General features: G+C 40.8%; 1 protein-coding gene across 1 annotated transcript in view; it reads left to right on the top strand.

Annotated features, from left to right (window-relative positions):
• Positions 1-17,080, top strand: part of KDSR (3-ketodihydrosphingosine reductase) — a 39,481-nt gene extending 22,401 nt beyond the window's left edge. The window contains exons 7-10 of the mRNA NM_002035.4: positions 313-396; positions 5,923-6,006; positions 9,448-9,549; positions 12,905-17,080. Coding sequence (NP_002026.1) covers positions 313-396; positions 5,923-6,006; positions 9,448-9,549; positions 12,905-13,024 — 390 coding nt within the window. The 3' untranslated portion in view covers positions 13,025-17,080. The remainder of the gene's footprint in view (positions 1-312; positions 397-5,922; positions 6,007-9,447; positions 9,550-12,904) is intronic.

Here is a 21,986-nt window from a genome sequence, read left to right as displayed (position 1 = left end):
ACTGCCCTCGTCGGACGGCTCCCAGGGCCTCTGTCTGGGCAGCAGGAGTGGAAGACACTGCAAAGGAGGTGACTTGCCATACTTTAGGGCCAGCTGTTTTCTGGGGTCCAGGTTAGGGTGAGCTTTTTGCCTACATTCTGGAATCATCATGGAGAGGGGTTTCTCAATGCAATTGGTGTAGTTCCCCGCCTAACAGAATCACCCCATTGTTCTCACCGCTTTTTGGGAATCAGGGCAGCCAGTGCAGGTTGGCAGTGTAGGACCTCAGTGTGTCTTGTTTACTGAAGGTACACGTGTTGTTTTGAAATGCAGGTGAAGCCATATAATGTCTACATCACAGTTGCTTACCCACCAGACACAGACACACCTGGCTTTGCCGAAGAAAACAGAACAAAGGTCAGTATCCTACATGTCCCAATTTGAACCTCTAATGTTTACTGCTTTTCTGATTTTCTTTCTACTCTTCAGCTCACACTCGTTTTCACCAATCAACAATGTTTGTTGGGTAGAGTGCCTAGCTGGTTTCTGATGACCTTGAGATTCTCCAGGCAAATATTCCTTCTTTCCTTCCTCTTTTCCCTCACTTTATTTTCTTAAAGTTTAAATTTCTACCAGATTTTTTCTCTATAGAGACAGGGCCTCACTCTGCCATCCAGGCTGGAGTGCAGTGGTACAATCGTGGCTAACTGCATCCTCAAACTCTCAGGCTCAAGCAATCCTCCTGCCTCAGCCACCTGAGTAGCTGGGCCTACAGGCATGTGCCACCACACCTAGCTAATTTTTAATTTTTTTGTAGAGATGGAGTCTCACTATGTCGCCCAGGCTGGTGTCAAACTCCTGGCCTCAAGTGATCCTCCCTCCTCAGCCTCCCAGGTGCTGAGATTATAGGCATGAGCCATTGTACCCAGCCATTTCCAGCACATTTTTATCAAAGAAGTATGTCACACAGTTTTAGAGTCCAATATCAATCCTTTGCCTCATCTCTCCCATTCCCAATTCCTACTCCCTAGAGGTAGCCATTTATTTTAACTAACATGTTTATACTGCTTTTTTTTTTTTTAAGATTTAGAAATTATTTATTGACTTTCTACCGTGGAAGATAAAATTTAAGACCAGGCCAGGCACAGTGTGGCTCATGCCTGTAATCCCAGCACTTTGGGAGGCCTAGGCAAGAAGATCACTTGAGGCCAGGAGTTCAAGACCAGCCTGGGCAACATAACAAAACCCTGTCTCTACAAAAAATTTAAAAATTAGCCAGGCATGGTGGCACATGCTTGTAGTTCCAGCTACTCAGGAGGCTGAGGTGGGAGGATCATTTGAGCCAGGGAGGTTGAGGCTGCAGTGAGCCATGATTGTAGTACTGCATTTCGACCTGGGTGACAGAGCGAGAACCAATATCTAAAAAAAAAAAAAATTAAAATTAAAAATAAAAAAATAAAAATTTAAGGCCAGCCATGGTGTCTCACACCTGTAATCCCAGTACTTTGGGAGGCCATGGCAGGAGGATTGATTGAGCCCAGGAGTTCGAGACCAGCCTAGGCAACATAGCAAGACCCTTTCCCTACAAAAAAATAAGCAAAATTAGAATTGTTCCAGCTACTCAGGAGGCTAAGGTGGAAGGATAGTGTATTAGTCCGTTCTTGCATTACTATAAATAAATGCCTGAGATTGGGTAATTTACACGTAAAAGAGGTTTAATTTGCTCACAGTTCCACAGGCTGTACAGTCTGCTGCTTCTGGGGAGGCCTCAGGAAACTTACAGTCTTAGGTAAAGGGAAAGCAGGTACGTCTTACGTGGTCGGAGCAGGAGGAAGAGAGAGAGGGGAGGTGCCACACACTTTTAAACAACCAGATCTCGTGAGAACTCACTCAGTATCACGAGAATAGCAAGAGGGAAATCCACCCCCATGATCCAGTGACCTCCCACCAGGTCCCTCCTCCAACATTGGGGATTGTAGTTGGACCTGAGATTTGCATGGGGACACAGATCCGAACCATATCAGATAGTTTGAGCCTAGGACGTCGAGGCTGCAGTGAGCCAAGATTGCGCCACTGCACTCCAGCCTGGGCAATAGAGTAAGACTTGTTTCAAAACAAAAACATTAAGACTCATATCTGTTCCCCATTCCCTGTGTACTCCTCCCATCTCTTTAGTTAAATCAGGTTTAGTGCTCATATTAATATTATGCACACTTGGACCATTCTATAGTGACATTTCCTTTCTTGCCTTTTCATTTGCTTAGCTTTGTAATTATCTATAACTAATTCAGTCCCAGATTCAAACAGAACTGAGATTCTCCTTTTGATCCATGTGAGCACATTGGACATTCTATTAGATTCATTCTTTTTTCCTCAGACATTTCTCCTGGGGTCGTCCCCGTTCCTGGTCTGTTCTAGTTCTGCCACCCAGCGGTGGTGTCAGGACTTGTCTTCACCTCACACTGCACGTTCCCTTCTCCCCTCCCTTTGACGGAGCCCATGACTCTCACTTTTTTGGTTTATCTGCTCATTTTGGTGGAGCTATAATATTTTCCACCAATTTTCTGAGAAAGGGCACATCAGAGGTAATATTGTTTTAGAAACAACATGTCTGAAAATGCCTTTATTTTTATTTTAACCTTTTTTTTTTTTTTTTTTGTGATAGAGTCTTGCTCTGTCACCCATGCTGGAGTGCAGTGGTGCAATGTTGGCTCACTGCAACCTCTGCCTCCTGGGTTCAAGAGATTCTCGTGCCTCAGCCTCCTGAGTAGCTGGGATTACAGGTGCGTGCCACCAAGCCCGGCTGATTTTTTGTATTTTTTTTTAGTAGAGACGGGGTTTCACCATGTTGGCCAGGCTGGTCTCCAACTCCTGGCCCACTCTGGCCTCCCAAAGTGCTGGGATTACAGGCATAAGCCACTGTGCCTGGCCATTTTTCTTTATTCTTATGTATTGTTTTGTTAAGTACAGATTTCTAGTTTGGAAATAATGTTTCCTCAGATTTCTGTGAGCATTTATTGATTTCCAGCTTCCAGAATTTCTGTGGAATCCAGTGCTATTTTGATTCCCAACCTTTTGTATAGAACCTGTTTTTCCATTTATTTTTGGAAACCTTGTGTCCCTTTTTATCCTTATTTAATGGATTTTGGCATGAAATCTTCTCATTTCATATGAGCCCTTTTATTTTATCAACTTTTGTTCTGGGACATTTTATTATATTACTCCTTTTATCACTTCTTTCTTCCCAAAGTATTTCAAGTGTTCATTCTCTCTGGAGCATTTATTATTCAGATTTTTGAACTTTCTGGACTGATCCTCTAATTTCCTTCTATTTTCTCTCTCTTTTTTTTTTTAATCTCTTGGGCCTTTTGTTCTCCCTTCTAGGTTTTTATTCGCTTTATCCTTAAACCTTTTTGTTGAAATCTTTATTTCTACTGGGTTACATAAAAATTACTTTAGATCTCTTTTCTCTGAATATTTAAAACAGTTTTTAAAAATAGCTTCTTGCCTTATTTCATGGATTTCATATTTTCTCTTATGTCTAAGGATATTCACTCTGGATGTTTAGCCTTGTTTTTTTGTTGCTGTTGTTTTGTTTGAAAATTTCTTCTATATCTTGTATTATTTATTTCCTCCTACTTTCTTTTTCTCTGTTGTTGTTTTTTCCGGCTTCCTGAAATGTCTGTTGATCCTTGATTGTCCATATTTAAGAGTGATGCACTAAAATGCCAATTGTAAATCTCTAGCTTCTCAGCTGTTTACTATAGGATGATCAGGAGGGGATGCAGCCACTTCATTAGAAGATTCTCATATGCCAGCATCTGCTCACTTTTCTCATGGTTTGATCAGTTTCCCTACTGAGGAATCATGTCTTCTTCTGCCTTTGGGAGAGTAAGACTTGCTGTCTGTGTTGTGGGAGGCAAGCAGGGCAGGAGGGCTGGGGAGCTCACCACCTACGTGCCAACTTTTGCTTAATTTTTCTGTTTCTACAAAGTGCCTTATAACTACTCTTAGTGGTGAGAATTAAGAATCTGGTTAGTAAATTGCTAATCTTTTGCCATCGTAGAGGAGATGACTTGGGGTCTGATGATTTGAGTCTCCATTGCACTTATCACAGCTTATAACAGAAGCTTCTCATAGCACTTAAAACAGACATATCTTTTATATAAAATGACTGCCAGTCATCCTGAGCTGAATATAAGCTTCACACTTTTTCAATGGAATATTCCCTTTGCCTTGACACATAGTAGTTGCTTTTTTGAGCAAATGAATAGGTGAAGCGGGAAGAAAGGAATTAATCAGAACTTACCACCTTGAACTGTGGCCAATTTTAGTTTTATATATTTTTTTCTCTTTTATACGAATACTTTGTAAATGTGAATCTCTGCAGCATAAAAATTGGCACTTAAACTCCCTAGACTGTATATTTGTAGAAAGATGTTTGTGATTTAGGTTTTTTCCCCCTATTCTTTTCTCTTTGGCTCTGCCTTTTTAAAAATTACTGCTATTTCAAAGAAGTAAATTTAAGCCAAATGTCCTGTCTTAGAATAAGCAGAGATCTTCTAAGCAGCTTTGCAACATTCGGTATGCAGTCTTTTAGTTTGAAGCCAGAGCTGACAAAGGGTGGTGATTTCCCTGTTAAGGTTTGATTCTGATGTTGATTAAGTTGGGGTTTTTTCAGTAAAATTTTGGGCAGACTTGTTGGGGGTAAATACAATTCTACATTGATGTGTGGGCCCTTTAGGGGGCGCCATAGTACTTTAGAATCTTATGTGTATTTAGTGTGGTTATGCCAGCCTGGGGGTCTGGAAGAATGAATCGTGGCTCCTTCAAAACAGCCTTTCTCTTAAGAAAGGTTCATAAGAAATACTTGATCTTTATGAAATACTTTACTTTCCTATTTTAAGAAAATATAATCTGGTTTTTATTTTCTTTAATTCCTTCAAGCTTACGTGGTAAAGTTTACAGTCTCATGCAGTTTAAGGCTTTTGTTTGACACTTCTACTTGAAATTATTTGACACTTCTAATTGAAACTAACTGAAATAATTTTTGAGCACACATATGCAAGACATCGCAAAGAAAAGCCAAAGATAAATAATTTCTTACAAAAAAGGCCCTGCCCACAAGAAACTTAGGAGGTAAAATGCAAATGCACAAGTAGCTATAATGTGTATTAAAACAGAAATGTTCACAGAAGAAAGAGAGAGGTTACTGCCAGTTAGGTATTTAGGGAAGGCTTTTTGAGTTAGGTAAGAGTTGAGATGGACCTTTTGAGGAAGAAAAGGCTAAGATTTGGGGTCTGCAGCTCCAGCCTGGTAACTAGCATGCAGCCCATCTAGGGACCACTCAGGGTTATCTCCTAAGTGGCTCCTTCTGTTTCAGTGTCCTGTGCATTTGCCTCCTCAGCAAGTCCTTTAAGAAGCATCTGCAGTTGTTGAATGGGGGCTGGGTTGCGACTGTCCCTGCCTTGGGCGCCAGGTTCATCCCCAGGGATCAGCCCTCTGCTGACCTGGGAATATGGTCAGAATGGAGTTGCTGGTCTTGGGAGCAGGCTTGCTCTGGACACAGGTCTAGCCTCTACAGAAAAGCACCATCATTCAGGTGTCCGGCCAGCACTGAGGAGTCAAAGGGGGTCTTTCTGAACTTGTATCCAGTGATGTGTTCTCACTCTAGCTTTGATGGTCCTCAGTGGAGCCAAGACTCCGTATGTTCTAAGAGAATGGCAAAGGCCTCCTTGTCTTGTGTTAGCTACTGGGTAGAATTTTACGTAGTAACTAGGTAGACACTGATTTAGAATCCAGATGGACCTTATTCTAGAAATAGGAATCTGCCCAAAGGTAGAAAATTGGAATTATTTGTAAATCAGGAGGCTGTAAGAATAATTTATTTTTAATGTAATGGGCAATCATGATATTGTTATGTACATGTTTTTCCACTTTTAGCCTTTGGAGACTCGACTTATTTCAGAGACCACATCTGTGTGCAAACCAGAACAGGTGGCCAAACAAATTGTTAAAGATGCCATAGTAAGTAAAATCCTTGTTTTCTGTACTATTTGTGTTTGTAGTACTATATTTCTGAAAAGATATTTGTCCAAGGACTTACTTCAAAACATCAATTATTAGAATTTTTTAGTCTGTCAGATTTGTCATATCTAATATTGGACTCAACTTTTCTTCTTTTAGACGCTTTATTGACTCCATATTAGTGAGTAGCCTCCTGAAAACTGATTGTATACCTTAATCTGAGGAACAGGTTTACTAGAAGGATGTCTGGAAACACCGGTTCTTTAAAAAGAAAATGAGACTTTCCTATGAGTGTAAACGATATATACTATGTCCCATATACACCTGGCTGCTTTCTCTCCCATTCCTGCTTCCCAGTATCATTTTCCCAAAAGTTAGCTAACGAGAAAGTGCCACCAGCCCCGTGGGCCTGTCCTCCTGTCTTCCCTGTTGATATGTTTTTTAATTCAGAATCAAAAATGGTATTTTAAGAAATGATGTGCTGTTTTGTAGAAGAACAACATATGTGCCTCATGCTTTTTGACAACATTTCTGTTAATGCGGAAAAATGCACATTTATGAGGGATGTCTGTAAACCACAGACCCACACTGAATTTGGAAAATCTATAGGACCATTGGAATGAGAGGTGTCAGCACATGGTGGACAGCCTTGAAGTGGCCTAAATGCTGTCACATTAGACTGAACTGAGCAGAATGAGAATAGTGAATTCTGTTGAAATATATACATGTGTGAAGAACTTTGTCCTGAGTGCATTAAAAGGCTCAGGAAGATGGCACAAGTGAGACTTTATTTTTCCTGCTTATCTCGGGTCAAAGCAAATGCATTTGGTGTTTTTTGTTGTTGTTGTTGTTTTGTTTGTTTGTTTGTTTTGAGACGGAGTTTTGCTCTTGTTGCCCAGGCTGGAGTGCAGTGGCACGATCTTGGCTCACTGCAACCTCTGCCTCCTGGGTTTAAGTGATTCTCCTGCCTCGGCCTTCTGAGTAGCTGGGATTACAGGTGCTCACAACCACACCTGGCTAATTTTTTGTATTTGTAGTAGAAATGGGGCTTCACCATGTTGGCCAGGCTGGTCTCGAACTCCTGATTTCGGGTAATCCGCACGCCTCAGCCTCTTGGCCAAAGTGCTGGGATTACAGGCGTGAGCTCCGTGCCCAGCCCATTCAGTGTTTCTAATGATGCTAAATAGCTCTTAGTATTTTGGCAGTATTCATTTAGTTTAGTGGTTTTCAAACTTTTCTTCTCTTGACCACTTTACATTCTTACAAATTGTCAACAACCCCAGAGAACTTTTGTTTATTTACATGGCTATATTTATTGATATTTGCCATATTTGAAATGGAAGCTGTTTGTAATATTTATTGATTCATTAAAAATAACAAAAATGGCTGGGCACAGTGACTCGTGCCTGTAATCCCAACACTTTGGGAGGCCAAGGCGGGCGGATCACCTGAAGTCAGGAGTTCAATACCAGCCTGACCAATATGATGAAACCCCGTCTCTACTAAAAATACAAAAATTAGTCGGGTGTGGTGACATGCGCCTGTAATCCCAGCTACTTGGGAGGCTGAGACAGGAGAATCGCTTGAACCCAGGAGGTGGAGACTGCAGTGAGCTGAGATTGAGCCATTGTGCTCCAGCCTGGGCAACAAGAGCAAAACTCCATATATATATATATATATATATATTCACATATATATATATATAAAGTCACATATATATATATATAAAGTCACATATATATAAAGTGACTTTTTTTAAACAAAATTTACTACTTTTCAAAACAAAAGTTCAGTGAGGACGGTGGCATTGGTTCACATTTTCACCAGTTGCTTTAAGGTCTGCATTAACAGCTGGATTCAAATAGCTGCTTCTGCATTCCATCTGTTGTAATAATGTTGTTTTGATGGAAGGATATACAGAAAATCTGGCCTGAGACAGATACGGAGTTGGGAAAGGGAAGACTATTTTACTAGGCTTTTCAGATAATTATGGACATTCTTTTTTGATATCAAACCCAAACTCAACAAATGGTAGTTTCTTAAAGGTTAGTTGCAGTATAGAATTGGAAACTACATCAATGAATGTTTTGTTCTCTGTTACATTAAATTCCATTGGTCCGTCTTGTACTTTGAATGGATCTTTTAACCATTCATGATTTCGTAACATTATGCATTAGTCATTTGGAAAATATGGGTTGACTGAGTGATCAGAAAAATCGCTTTCATCAGTATTACTGCTGATCTTATCATAAAAGTATGCAGCTGACAGTCTCGTGATGGTGGATACTAGTTTTTCCAAATCTTAATTTTTTCTTGAAGGCTCAGATTTCACATTGATGACACGTGGCCAGTTGTTTTTCCTGAAGTGACACACTTGCTTGCTTCGCTTTCTGCACATCTGCCACATACCTAAGTCTGAATTACTATAGATTTCCTGTCAATGGTCTTTCATATAAAAATTATGCTCTCCAGCCAGGCACGGTGGCTCATGCCTGTAATCCCAGCACTTTTGGAGGCCGAGGCGGCTGGATTGCTTGAGCTCAGGGGTTTGAGACCAGCCTGGCCAACATGGTGAAACCCCATCTCTACTAAAAATACAAAAATTACCCGGGTGTGGTGGTGCATGCCTGTAATCCCAGCTACTTGGGAGTCTGAGGCAGGAGAATCACTTGAACCTGGGAGGCAGAGGTTGCAGTGAGCAGAGATCACACCACTGCATTCCAGCCTGGGCCACAGAGTGAGATTCTGTCGAAAATAAATAAATAAACAATACAAATGATGCTCCATGAAAGAAGTGGCAGTTTAGCCCTTGACTTCAGGAGCTGCACAAGGACTTTTGTTCCAGGCAGTTGTCCCGCCCTGGAATGCAGTGCTGCGGAAGCGCGTTGGGCGCATTCTCATTTGTCACACAGAGTATTAAGAAGACATGTCCTCGAGGGTTGCCATTGAACAAAATGATGAATTTTCCTGCTTTATCAAGAGGATTTTAAAGCAAAACTGACACTTTGATTTTTAAAAGAATTTTAGAACTTGTATTTTCTTTGTGTATTATTTATTACTGCGAGTGCGTGTGGTAGTAGAGGTGACAATGACTCCTAGTACAGTTTGGCAAGAACCCCGTGGTTCTTGCCCATGTCTCTGCAGTTTTGCAGAGGCAAAACTGTATTTTCCATACAACACACTGTGGAAAAGACAATGAATGTCTTAGTGTTATTAGGACAATCATTTGTCCTTGGGGGCCCGCAGGGGTCCGTGGACTCACTTGTTGAGAACTGCCATCTGCCAAGGCCGTGCGTCCATTTCTGAGTGCTGATCAATGCTTTGTGACCATTTTATCTCACTTAAAGTGAACGAGCACACTCCACTGTTTCTGATGTGTCCGACTGATTTCTGTCCACATTACTAGGATTCCCTCTTTCTCTTCTTTTTCTTCTCTTTTAGCAAGGAAATTTCAACAGTTCCCTTGGCTCAGATGGGTACATGCTCTCGGCCCTGACCTGTGGGATGGCTCCAGTAACTTCTATTACTGAGGGGCTCCAGCAGGTAAGCTCTGCCTAGGCTAGCAATCAGACAGGCCGATGGACAAGAGAAAAACTGCCTTTCATCAAACCTTGATGAGAAGAGGTTAAGGGAAAACTAAGTAACTTTATTTGACAATGTATTTTTATGGAGCTATCAACTTTTCCTCTTCCTCCACCAGGAATGAGTAAATAGGTTAAAGATATAACTTCAGGAATTTAGAATGGCAAGAAGTCTTCAGTGCCGGGCCTTGCAGATAGAGAAATAAAACACCGTATCTGCTGTTGAGGTGTTAACCTGGATTTTCACCTAAGAACCACTGCTCCAATGTGTTTTGAAAATGGAATACTCCTCTAGAGTAAGGGGTAGCCTTGCTTAAAAAGTACTGGGATATTAGACTAGAAAACCTTTTCTAGGTGAATCAGGTCACACACAGCTAAATTTAGTGAGACACGAATCATGGATTAAACAGTTGCTTCGCTTATAGAATGTATTATTTTGTCCAAGATACACAGTGTTTCATTGGTGTGCTAGGCACTGTACTTGCTCATGGGGAATCAGATGGAAGGCGACCTCTCCAGCTTCAGGGGCATACAGTCAAGTGGAATGCACTGACCAAAAAGGTGATAGTAGTCCGGGCGCGGTGGCTCACGCCTGTAATCCCAGCACTTTGAGAGGCTGAGGTGGGTAGATCACTTGAGATCAGGAGTTTGAGACCAGCCTGGCCAAGATGGTGAAACTGTTTCTACTAAAAACACAAAAATTAGCTGGGCATGGTGGCGGACGCCTGTAATCCCAGCTACTCGGGAGGTTGAGGTAGGAGAATTACTTGAACCCGGGAGGTGGAGGTTGCAGTGAGCCGAGATCAAGCCACTGCACTCCAGCCTAGGCTACAAGGGCAAAACTCTGTCTCAAAAAAAAAAAAAAAGATAGTAGTGCAGTGTAATGAAGTAGGGGTTACAATAGAGGGAATGCTCTGGAAAGACAAAGCCATGGGATAGTTGTTAACAAGTACTAAATTCTGTGCAGTCAACCACATTCAGACTTATATAAATGACTTAGTTGTTGGTTTTCTTCAGGGTCTTTCCCAAGCCCTCTTTTCTTTTCATTCTGTAATGTACCTACTGTCTTTGCCATTCTCTTAGAGGTTGACACTGTGTTAGATGTAAGCTCTTTGAGGACCAGGCCCACACCTCTTGTTTGCCGTTGTACCCCTAACAGCCAGCGCCTGGCACTTAGTAGGAACTCCAGAATCCCTGAGCTGAACAAATGCATGAATTCTTTTATGTTTTAATTTTTGGGCTGGCATGGTGGCTCACACCTGGCGTGTTGTCCTGGACTCCCCTGCTTCTGTCCCTCACGTCAGAGATCATTGTCATCCTTGTCACTCAGTTCTTCACATTCTTCCATTCTCTGCAATTCTGGCAGTGCTTCTGGAGCCCAGGCCTGGGTTGCCGCAGCAGGCCCCCTGCTTGAGTTACACACTTTTTGAGCCAGAGGTTGTAAACGATTCCCATGGGCCTGTAAAGCAGTTTTGTTGGGTCCATCTGGTGTGAGTGTGTGTGTTTAAGATTTTAAAATAGTTTTAAAATTAGGTTTTATATAAAAGGTCCAGATTTCAGACTTTTCTTGGAAAATCAGAAGGTTTAGCTGCACAGAGTCTGCATTCTTACCTGGCAGTCATCAGCAAGCACAGGTGGCAGCTGCTCCTGAGGGAGGAGCACAGTCCCTGCAACCACTATGGTCTGCAACCCCCTGCTCAGGCCCCCTGGATGCGTTTGAGTGTACCCTCACATTTTCCACACCAGTTGTTTCTAAACTGCAACTATACATTGCATGAAAACATTCAATGACTCCTTGATACCATCAGGATAAAGCTTTAAAAATTCCATTGCACCTGAGTATGGTGGCTCATGCCTATAATCTCAGCACTTTGGGAGGCCAAGTCAGGAGGATCGCTTGAGCTCAGGAGTTTGAGATCAGCCTGGGCAACATAGTGAGACCCTGTCTCTACAAAAAAATGTAAAAGAAAAGAAAGCCAGGCGTGGTGGTGTGTACCTGTATTCCTAGCAACTGGGAGACTTCTGCTTGAGTCCAGAAGTCTGAAGCTACAGTGAGCTGTGATCATACTCCTGCACTCCAGCCTGGGTGACAGAGCAAGACCCTGTCTCTAAAAAGGATTTAAAAATTAAAAAAATTTCCATCGCATGCCATAAACCACCTGATCTCCTACCCCACGTACCTTTCCAGGCTCTTTTTTTTCTTTCTTTCTTTACCCATCTTCTTCTTTTTGGAATCTTCTCTGTGTCCTGCCAACTTCTAATCCTTCAGGTCTCACCTTAAATATTGTTTTTTCCGGAAGATCCAAGGACTGGCTTCAGTGCTCTGAGGGTGTAGGGAAAAAAACAAAGGGATTTTTCTATTCTCTTTTTTTTTTTTTTTTTTTTTTGAGACGGAGTCTTGCTCTGTCACCCAGGCTGAAGTGCAGTGGCACGATCTCAGCTCACTGCACGCTCTGCCTCCTGGGTTCACACCATTCTCCTGCCTCAGCCTCCCCAGCAGCTTGGACTACAGGCGCACACCGCCACACGCGGATAATTTTTTTGTATTTTTAGTAGAGATGGGGTTTCACCGTGTTAGCCAGGATGGTCTCAATCTCCTGACCTCGTGATCCACCCGCCTCGGCCTCCCAAAGTGCTGGGATTACAGGCGTGAGCCACCGCGCCCGGCCTGATTTTTCCATTCTCTTATGCACGGGGACTCATGCCTATGGTCCCAGCTGCTTGGGAGGATGAGGCAGGAGAATCCTTTGAGTTTGGGAGGTCAAAGCTATAGTGAGCCGCGTTCATGCCACTGCACTCCATCCTGAGCAACAGGATATCAGTAATCACGGGTCTCAACCCTGAGGCAGTAGTTTCAATTTTACTTGTCTTTCCAGCCTGAGAATAAGCTCATTGAGGGCAGGGACTGTGTCTCTCACCACAGTGTTCACAGCACCTAGTATAGGGTCTCGCTTTCATGCTCAGAACATAAATTGCAAACCAAAAAAGCCTTGATTGTAGTTTGGCTATTTGAGATGCTGCAGTGGGTCTTTTTAAAGCTATTATAACCCTAAGACTGCAAGCAATATATATTTTATTCTGCTTATGGTTTGAATTTATTAATTGGACAAATATTTTGTTATGTATCTGGGCTGTCCAGCGGTGCAGAGCACACACATTCTGTTCTCACAGCTTACTGACATTTACAGAGTTTTCATTATATTCATCCTTAGAGCAGACTAGAAGATTTGTCTTAGAAACTGTTTGTTAGAGACCTAGGTACCTTGAAATAGTCTTGTACCGTTGGATGCACTAAAAGCTCTCTCTTTATCTTGCAGGTGGTCACCATGGGCCTTTTCCGCACTATTGCTTTGTTTTACCTTGGAAGTTTTGACAGCATAGTTCGTCGCTGCATGATGCAGAGAGAAAAATCTGAAAATGCAGACAAAACTGCCTAATCTTCTTACCCCTTGGAAGAAGACTGTTTCCAAATAATTTGAACAGCTTGCTGCTAAATGGGACCCAATTTTTGGCCTATAGACACTTATGTATTGTTTTCGAATACGTCAGATTGGACCAGTGCTCTTCAGGAATGTGGCTGCAAGCAAGGGGCTAGAAGTTCACCTCCTGACAGTATTATTAATACTATGCAAATATGGAATAGGAGACCATTTGATTTTCTAGGCTTTGTGGTAGAGAGGTGAAGGTATGAGAATTAATAGCGTGTGAACAAAGTAAAGAACAGGATTCCAGAATGATCATTAAATTTGTTTCTATTTATTCTTTTTTGCCCCCCTAGAGATTAAGTCCAGAAATGTACTTTCTGGCACATAAAGAAATCTTGAGGACTTTGTTTAAACCTTCCATAAAAAAACAATTTTCGGTTTCTCGGGTTCTCTCTCTCTCTCTCTCTGTCTCTCTGTCTCTCTGTCTCTCTGTCTCTCTGTCTCTCTGTCTCTCTCTCTCTCTCTCTTTCTTTCTTTGTGTATTTTATTCAAGATGAGTTGGACCCATTGCCAGTGAGTCTGAATGTCACTGACAGCCCTGTGTTGTGCTCAGGACTCACTCTGCTGCTGGTGGAAACTCATGGCTTCTCTCTCTCTTTGATCCCATAAAGCTACGAGGGGGACGGGAGAGGGCAGTGCAATGGGAAGTAAAGAGATATTTTCCAGTAGGAAAAGCAATGCTTTCTTGTCTTTAGACTCAAATGCTTAGGGAACGTTTCATTTCTCATTCATGGGGAAAGGCAGCCTCCTTAAATGTTTTCTGAAGAGCGGTAAAATCTAGAAGCTTAAGAATTTACAGTTCCTTCAATAACCATGATGACCTGAAGTTCACCTATCCCATTTTAGCATCTACTTGTTTTTCCCATCTCTTCCTTTCCAATTTTGCTTATACTGCTGTAATATTTTTGTAAAAAAAAAAAAAAAGGAAAAAAAAGACCAGCTAAAATTTTCGACTTGACTTTTTAACTTAACTCATGAATTAATTAAAGCAAATGAAAAAATTAAAAAGTGTGACTTTTTCTCGGAGCATATATGTAGCTTTTAGGAAAGGCTGATGATGGTATAAAGTTTGCTCATTAAGAAAAAAAGACAAGGCTGATTTTGAAGAGAGTTGCTTTTGAAATAAAATGATCACCTGTTCTTTATGTGACTCTCCCACTGAACCTGCAGACATTATTTTTATACCACATGCTAAGGAAGCCCACTCATCTAACTCTGTAGCCCTGGAAACCCTCTTGGCCCCTGAATGTTGTTTCCAGGTTATAGGATCTGTGTTCATTAGTGGATTTTGACAGCAAGTGCCTCTGATGAGTTTTAGCCAACATTCCCCGTTGCATCCTGCTCATTGTTCACACTCCTCTGACTTGAGGAGAGCTGCCTTCACCTTGATCTTGTAACCTGTCTTCCTTGCATATACGGTAGCACATTCCAGATCACTTCGGTGAGAAAAGACCTCTGTTTTTGAAGAGGAAACTTTCTTAAATTGTAAAATAAAACTTAAAAAACATAAAAACTCTATACAAAAATTGAAGACCTAAAAATTATAGCATACCTTTTTTTTGCTCTTGAGTTTTTGAAGCTCTTGACTTTAAATGACTTAACTTTTTAAAAAATAAGATGTTTTATGGCTTTAACCCATGTTTTTATTAAGATCTGAGAATAGCATATTTTAAACACTGATAGATACAGAAGAAATTATTATTTAATATATAAATTGCTTGGAATGATTTCATTGCAGCTTGTAAGGATGGGTTGATGCCAGAATGGTTTCATAAATCTTTCAGTCTTACAGAGCCAAAGTTTGCAGATTATATCGAGTTGCGTTGTGCAGCTGCTAAAATGGAATCATAGCTTTTTATAATTTGCAGAAAACAATTGCATTAATGTCTGGATGTTTCTCAGTTTTATTCTTTTCTCATAAATGTTCCTCGAATGTTGGCACCTTCTACTGCTGATCTATATTAGAATCTAGTCCAAGAAAGTGTCTGATTTAATAACATTAAATAGTTATTTCAATATATTTTTTCAAATTATCCTCATAGAACCTGTTGCCTCCAGTGAGATGGTAATCTACTACCCGAATAAATTTAAGAGCACCTGTTGAGAGCCCCTGTTTTGCGGTAGAAGACAATTGTCCCTATCCCAATTTCCACTGAAATATGAGAGCAGATTTGCAGAGACCATCATGTCAGAGAAGAAATTTCCTTGTCAGAGATGTTAAAGGGCTACAGTCCCTTAGCAAAGAAACTTCGAAATCTAAGTTGGTTTGTGTTTTTCTAAATTTGATACCGTAATTCATTTGGCAGCAAAATCTGACTTGAACTGATGTGAGAGTATTGTACTTTATATTTATGCTACTTCATTGTGACTTAATTTTCCCTGAAGAAATATCCATGGATTTGATTATAGGTTTTCCCTTAGATGCTGTGGAGGTGTTTTGTAATATTCAAAATATGCCCATATTGCCTTTTTAAAACCCCAAAGATTATGAATTCTGAAACACATCCAGCCCAGCGGGTTTTGGATAAGGGGTTGTAGGCATTTAAGCAGCCTCACATAATGGGCTGACTTCATCCAAAACATGAAAATATTACAAGGCAAATTCTATTTTTTATATTTTTTGGTTCAATGCTTGAACAACTTGTTTTTCTGCTGGGGGAAGAAAAAAAGAACCAACCCTGAGTGTGATTGTTACGGAAACTAATGACTTTGTTTTTAAAGGATCACATTGATTCAACACCTTCTATTGGACCCAGAAGTGCGTAAATATTACCTATGGTAGTAAACGTTTAATTATCATTCAGTTTAAATGTTGGCCTTCTGTATGTAGCCAAGAACAGCTCATTTTGTGAATTTCAGTTTTTAAGTGGCTGCTTTTTGATTTGGTTGTATTATTTTATTATAATGTATTTGCAAGTATATTAAAAAATTAACATTGAGCCATAAAAATCCCCAAATATGTTCAAGGACTTCATAATTGAAAAATATATAGAAAACAATCCTTACTTCTTTTTACAAAAACAAAATCATGGGAATTATTCTTTTCTATATATTTAGTTATAAATCTTTCTCTGGGCCGGGCGTGGTGGCTCACGCCAGTAATCCCAGCACTTTGGGAGGCTGAGACAGGCGAATCACGAGGTCAGGAGTTCGAGACCAGCCTGGCCAACATGGTGAAACCCCGTCTCTACTGAAAATACAAAAAATTAGCTGGACACGGTGGCAGGCGCCTGTGTGTGGCGGGCGCCAGCTACTCAGGAGGCTGAGGCAGGAGAATCGCTTGAACCCAGGAGGCAGAGGTTGCAGTGAGCCAAGATTGCGCCACTGCACTCCAGCCTAGGTGACAGTGCGAGACTCTGTCTCAAAAAAAAAAAAAAAGAAAAAAAATCTTTATCTGGATCTGTTAAACCATATATTATTGATCATTGCAAGTGAAATTTTGAGAGATTGTTTCTAGTATTTAGGTGATGAAAACATTTGGTAATATTGCTTTGGTTCAAAGAATTTTATGTCTTTATCTTTCTAGAAGAAAGCAATTATATATATATTTTTGCTAAATTACATAAACATTTAATTACATCAGGTTCTAATTTAAACATGTATTACTCACTTGAGGCCACTTTTAAATATTCATACTCTTTGACATAAGATGCTTTGTATATTTCTCATTTCTTTTAGTTCTTAGTAAGTCAGCTTTAAAAAGTACCTGCCAACCAGAACCTTCCATATTCTGGACTAAATCTTGCTCTTCGGATTATACTTCAGTGCAGTAACTGTGGATTTGCAATTTTGAAGGGGAGATAGTAGCTATTATATTTTACACTTGCTTGATGTGATAACTCTAAAGACTTTTTAACTGATAAAAGCGCACATGGCTATTTTGATACACAAAGTTGTGTTTGCTACTTTAGAAGCTTTTGTGGCAGAATTGTAATCTAATTTTCATACCTTGTATTTCTGAATCACAACAAAAAAATAAATGGGGAACAAGACTTACAGATTTGCAAACTTATTTATCTAGAAGTTTGTGTTTTTTAAGAGACCATTTGGGCAAAACATAAATGTTTTCTATAATGTTATCCTGACTTTGCATCCTAAGCATTTCACCAGGCCTGATTTTTATCATTTTTTAGGAAGTAATATTTGTGGAGTAAATACTTGGTATTCTGAGCTCTTGTGTCAAGTAGGTTCTGTTCGTATCACTATGATGTGGGATATACGAGTAAAAGTTTAAGAAATGTGAATTTAGCAAAATTTCTTAAACAAGTACGTTTTCTATACAAATATATTTCTCATACTTTAAACGAAAACCTGATATTCCAACCATGTAATATCTCCCAGATCCTGATGGGCAGCAAATTATACAAGACTGATATGGAAAAGAACATGCCTCGATATTTATCAGTTCGTAAACAGAAAGGTTTTGGAACATTGAGAAGAGATTTCTTGGACATCGTGGTTTGCAAGCTTAATCTTTCTTTACATGTGAGCAATTTATATACATAAATGGCATGTGATATTATATCTGTAATTTTTGTTTGGATATTTAAAGGACAAAATTATGTGTTTTGTTTGTTTGTTTGTTTGTGATGGAGTCTTGCCCTGTCGCCAGGCTGGAGCGTAGTGGCATGATCTTGGCTCACTGCAACCTCCGACTCCCTGGTTCAAGCAATTGTCCTGCCTCAGCCTCCTGAGTAGCTGGGATTACAGGCACGCGCCCCCACGCCCAGCTAATTTTTGTATTTTTAGTAGAGACGGGGTTTCACCATGTTGGCCAGGCTGGTCTTGAACTCCTGACCTGGTGATCTGCCCGCCTTGGCCTCTCAAAGTGCTGGGATTACAGGCGTGAGCCACCACGCCCAACCCCAAATTATGTTTTGATTTCTGTTACACTCCTGATTTTATAACCTCCATTTTGCCTCATCCATCATATATTTGTTGGGTACTAATGATGAGCTTGGTATCAGGTGCTGGGGATACAATTATATATCAACAACTTGTTCCTTCCTCATGGCAATTACTTTTCTTGTTTCTTCACCTTCTCCCATCCTTCATCCCTCAGATGGCTCTGCTATATCCTTACAAGTCTCTTAGACAAAGAGGAACCATTCCCCATTTTCTTCTTTGGCTTGGAGCCTCTGAATTTTAGGCTTCAAATCTTTGTATGCTAAGCACTGTTCTAAGCTGGAAAGACTCCAAGGAAAAATAGGATCCCTGCCCTCGAATAGTTTATAATCTAGTGAGAAGGATATATGCCAGAGATTACACTGATCTGAGAATAGCGGTGATTAAGATACCATAACCAACACTGAAAACAGGTACCAGTCACTTGTGAGTGCTTTACATGTATTAACTCAATGAAATCACAAGCTAACCCCAAGAATAGTACTACTTATATTTCCATGTTATAAATGAGGGAACAGGCACTGAAAGCTTAAATACTTGGCTCAAGGTCACAGCTACTCAATGGTGAAGCCAGGATGAGAATCTTGATTCTGATTTTTAGGCATCTAGCCCCGTACTAAATGTCTTCTAGCAGCACAGAAGGAATGTTAAGACGGCCCAGAAACAGCAGGGATGGCTTTACAGAGGAAGAAATTCTTCAGCCAAAACTAAAGAAATGAATTTGTCAGGTGAAAAAGCTGGGTACCATTCAGGGAGACCGGCAGATGTGCAAAAGCGAAAGACGTGAGAGACCTTGGCATATTCCAGAAACCACAAAAAGTGGATATAGTTGCAAGAAGGGAAAAGGAAGAGATGAGGGGTAGGGAGGGGGGTGGCAAAGGATTGGGCCAGATCATGCCATGTGAAGAGTTAAGATTTTTAGGTTTTCAAGAACTTTGAGTGGAAATATGAAATAGCCAGATTTTAGCTTTAGAGAGGTCACGGTAGCCCTTGAAACTCAGTTCTAATATTGCTGAGTCTTTAGGCCTTGGGGTCAATGATCCTCATTAGTTTTAAAAATGTCATATTAGATACATATTGTGATGGATTGAATTGTGTCACCCCAAAACATATTTAAATTCAGTCCCCAGCACCTGTGAATATGACCTTATTTGGAAATAAGGTCTGTACAGATGCGATCAAGTTAAGATGAGGTGACTGTGATGGGCCTGAATCCAGTATTATGACTGGAGACCTCAGAAGAATGGGAGAAAACAGAACCCCACAGGTCATGGCGGAAGCAGAGACTGGAGTGATTAGGCTGCAAGGCAAGGAACATTAAGGATTGCCGGCCACCACCAGAAGCTAGGGAGAGGCAAGAACAGACTGTACCCGAGCTTCAGAGAAAGCGTGGGCCTGCTTTCGCCTTGCTTTTTGACTTCCAGCCCACAGAGCTGTGAGAGAATAAATTTCTGTTGTTTTACGCTACCTAATTTGTGGTATTTTGTCATGGCAGTTCTAGGAAACATATTAACCTTAAAGTTTAGAATTGTGTTCACTATCAATTAATACCTTGGAGACGTGCTGTGTGCTAAATAGCATAAGAGAATAAAAGTTAGTTATTACACGTAAGAATGTAAATTATTCACCCAGCCCTCCCGGTACTATGGTATTATACCTTGTTTGGTTCTATCACTGCAGTTTCAGTCCAACGAGAGCAGTAGGCATCTGAAAAATGGACAAGTTCCTACCCTTAGCTTATTTCACTTTAAACACCAAGTTATTGATTAGAAATGGAAAAAAAAATCACAAGTTAATTTGCTATGCTTTCCATTGTAAACCAAAAGTAAATATTATTTGCCCACTATTAAACTTGTACAGCAGAATGATTTATTTGTAGCTCATTGCCTAGCTTCAAATATTATTGCTTAATTATTCCGATTTTTTTTGTCTTGTTTTTAGGTTTAGGTTCCACTTAAGTTAGGTGAGTTAAGTTAGGTGGATTTCTAAGTTAAACCAAGGCTTAACTTAGAAACCAAGAGAGTTTCCTGGTTATGACAAGAATGACTTTCAGGCACAGAGTGGATGACTTGGATGTGATCACTTAAGGCAGAAGACAGGCTCTGAAGCAAAAGTGATTGGGAAAAAAAAAAAGCATGACTGGGGCTTATATAATGCTTGCTGGCAATGTATGCAAACCATTTGAAAGAGCATGGCACTACCTACCACACAAATTTATAATGTATAAGATTCTTGAAATTGGAAACTGGCATTTTGGATTGCTAATCTAAGCCTATGAGAAGTTATTATTATTATTATTATTATTATTATTATTATTATTTTTGTGAGACAGAGTCTTGCTCTGTTTCCAGGCTGGAGTGCAGTGGCGCGATCTTGGCTCCCTGCAACCTCTGACTTCCTGGTTCAAGTGATTCTCCTGCCTAGCCTCTCGAGTAGCTGGGATTACAGGCACTTGCCACCATGCCCAGCTAATTTTTGTAGTTTTAGTAAAGACAGGGTTTCACCATGTTGGCCAGGATGGTCTCGATCTCCTGACCTCGTGATCCATCCACCTCGGCCTCCCAAAGTGCTGGGATTACAGGCATGAGCCACTGCACCCGGCTGAGAAGTTATTTTTTAAGCAGTTTTCTTTCTTTCTTTCTTTCTTTCTTTTTTTTGAGATGGAGTCTCACTCTCTCACCCATGCTGGAGTGCAGTGGCATGATCTTGGCTCACTGCAATCTCTGCCTCCCGGGTTCAAGCAATTCTCCTGTTTCAGCCTCCTGAGTAGCTGGGACTACAGGTCCCCGCCACCACGCCTGGCTAATTTTTGTATTTTTAGTAGAGACGGGGTTCCACCATATTGGTCAGCCTGGTCTTGAATTCCTGACCTCAGGTGATCTGCCCACCTCTGCCTCCCAAAGTGCTGGGATTACAGCCGTGAGCCACTGCGCTCGGCCTCATTTTTCTTTTATGCAAACTATATGGACTACTTGTTTTTATTCTCTCTAGTCAGCTCATTTTATTTATGGATTAATTTCCATTTCAGGTTGGGGCCATGGTTTACTCTTCCATCTGACCTATTAGTTATCAATATCCTCAGTTAATAGTCTCATTCTACCCACATTTTCAATAAAAAGTTTACTAGCTGGGAAGATTTGATACACACACATGATTTTTTTTTTCTTTTCTTTTCTTTTTTTTTTTGAGACAGGGTATCAGTCTGTCACCCAGGCTGCAGTGCAGTGGTGTGATCACAGCTCACTACAGCCTCCACCTCCTGGGCTCAAGTGATCGTCCTATCTCAGCCTTCAGAGTAGATGGGACTACAGGCACACACCACCATGCCCCGCTAATTTTTGTATTTTTTGTGGAGATAGAGTTTTGTCATGTTGTGCAGGCTGGTCTCAAACTCTTGGCCTCAAGCAATACACCCACCGCAGCCTCCCAAAGTGCTGAGATTACAGGCATGAGCAACCACACCTGGCCGATACATACCTATATTAAACATTAGTATGTTCATGTTAGAATAATGTACCTTTTGAATTTCATAAACTTGGAGAATATTTATATTGATGATGGATGAAAGAACTTTCTTGGATGGATGAAGAGAGTAACGCTGTGAAACAACCAGCAGGTGGCGAAAACTGGCAATCAAAAGCTTTTTGTTTGGTGGCCTGGGGAATGAAGACGGAAAGAAAACACAGGCCATTCAGACTCTTGATACAATCTCCATTCCCTGCATCTTGTTTTTTTTCTCTTCCTGGTGCCACGCTACTTGTAGAATCCAACCAGGTAAAGCTGCCAAAAGGGTCATCCATTGGCTCTTACAAGTAGAAAACATCTTGGAAAGTGAAAAGTCCACTGTGCATATGTTTGTAAGGTTGTTGGAAGGTCTCAGGCATAGATCTAGGATTCAAATCCAGTTACTCCTGCCTCAGGCTGGTGTTCCCTCCCCCACCTCAGCATTGCCCAAAGACGAGTAGTCAATGTCACATACTTCCTGGGAATACTTGCCCTTATGCTTTAA

Source organism: Homo sapiens, chromosome 18 (assembly GCF_000001405.40).
Source record: "Homo sapiens chromosome 18, GRCh38.p14 Primary Assembly".
Classification (NCBI taxonomy): Eukaryota; Metazoa; Chordata; class Mammalia; order Primates; family Hominidae; genus Homo; species Homo sapiens.
Note: the sequence above shows the minus strand (reverse complement) of the source record. Positions and strands in the feature narration are given on the sequence as shown.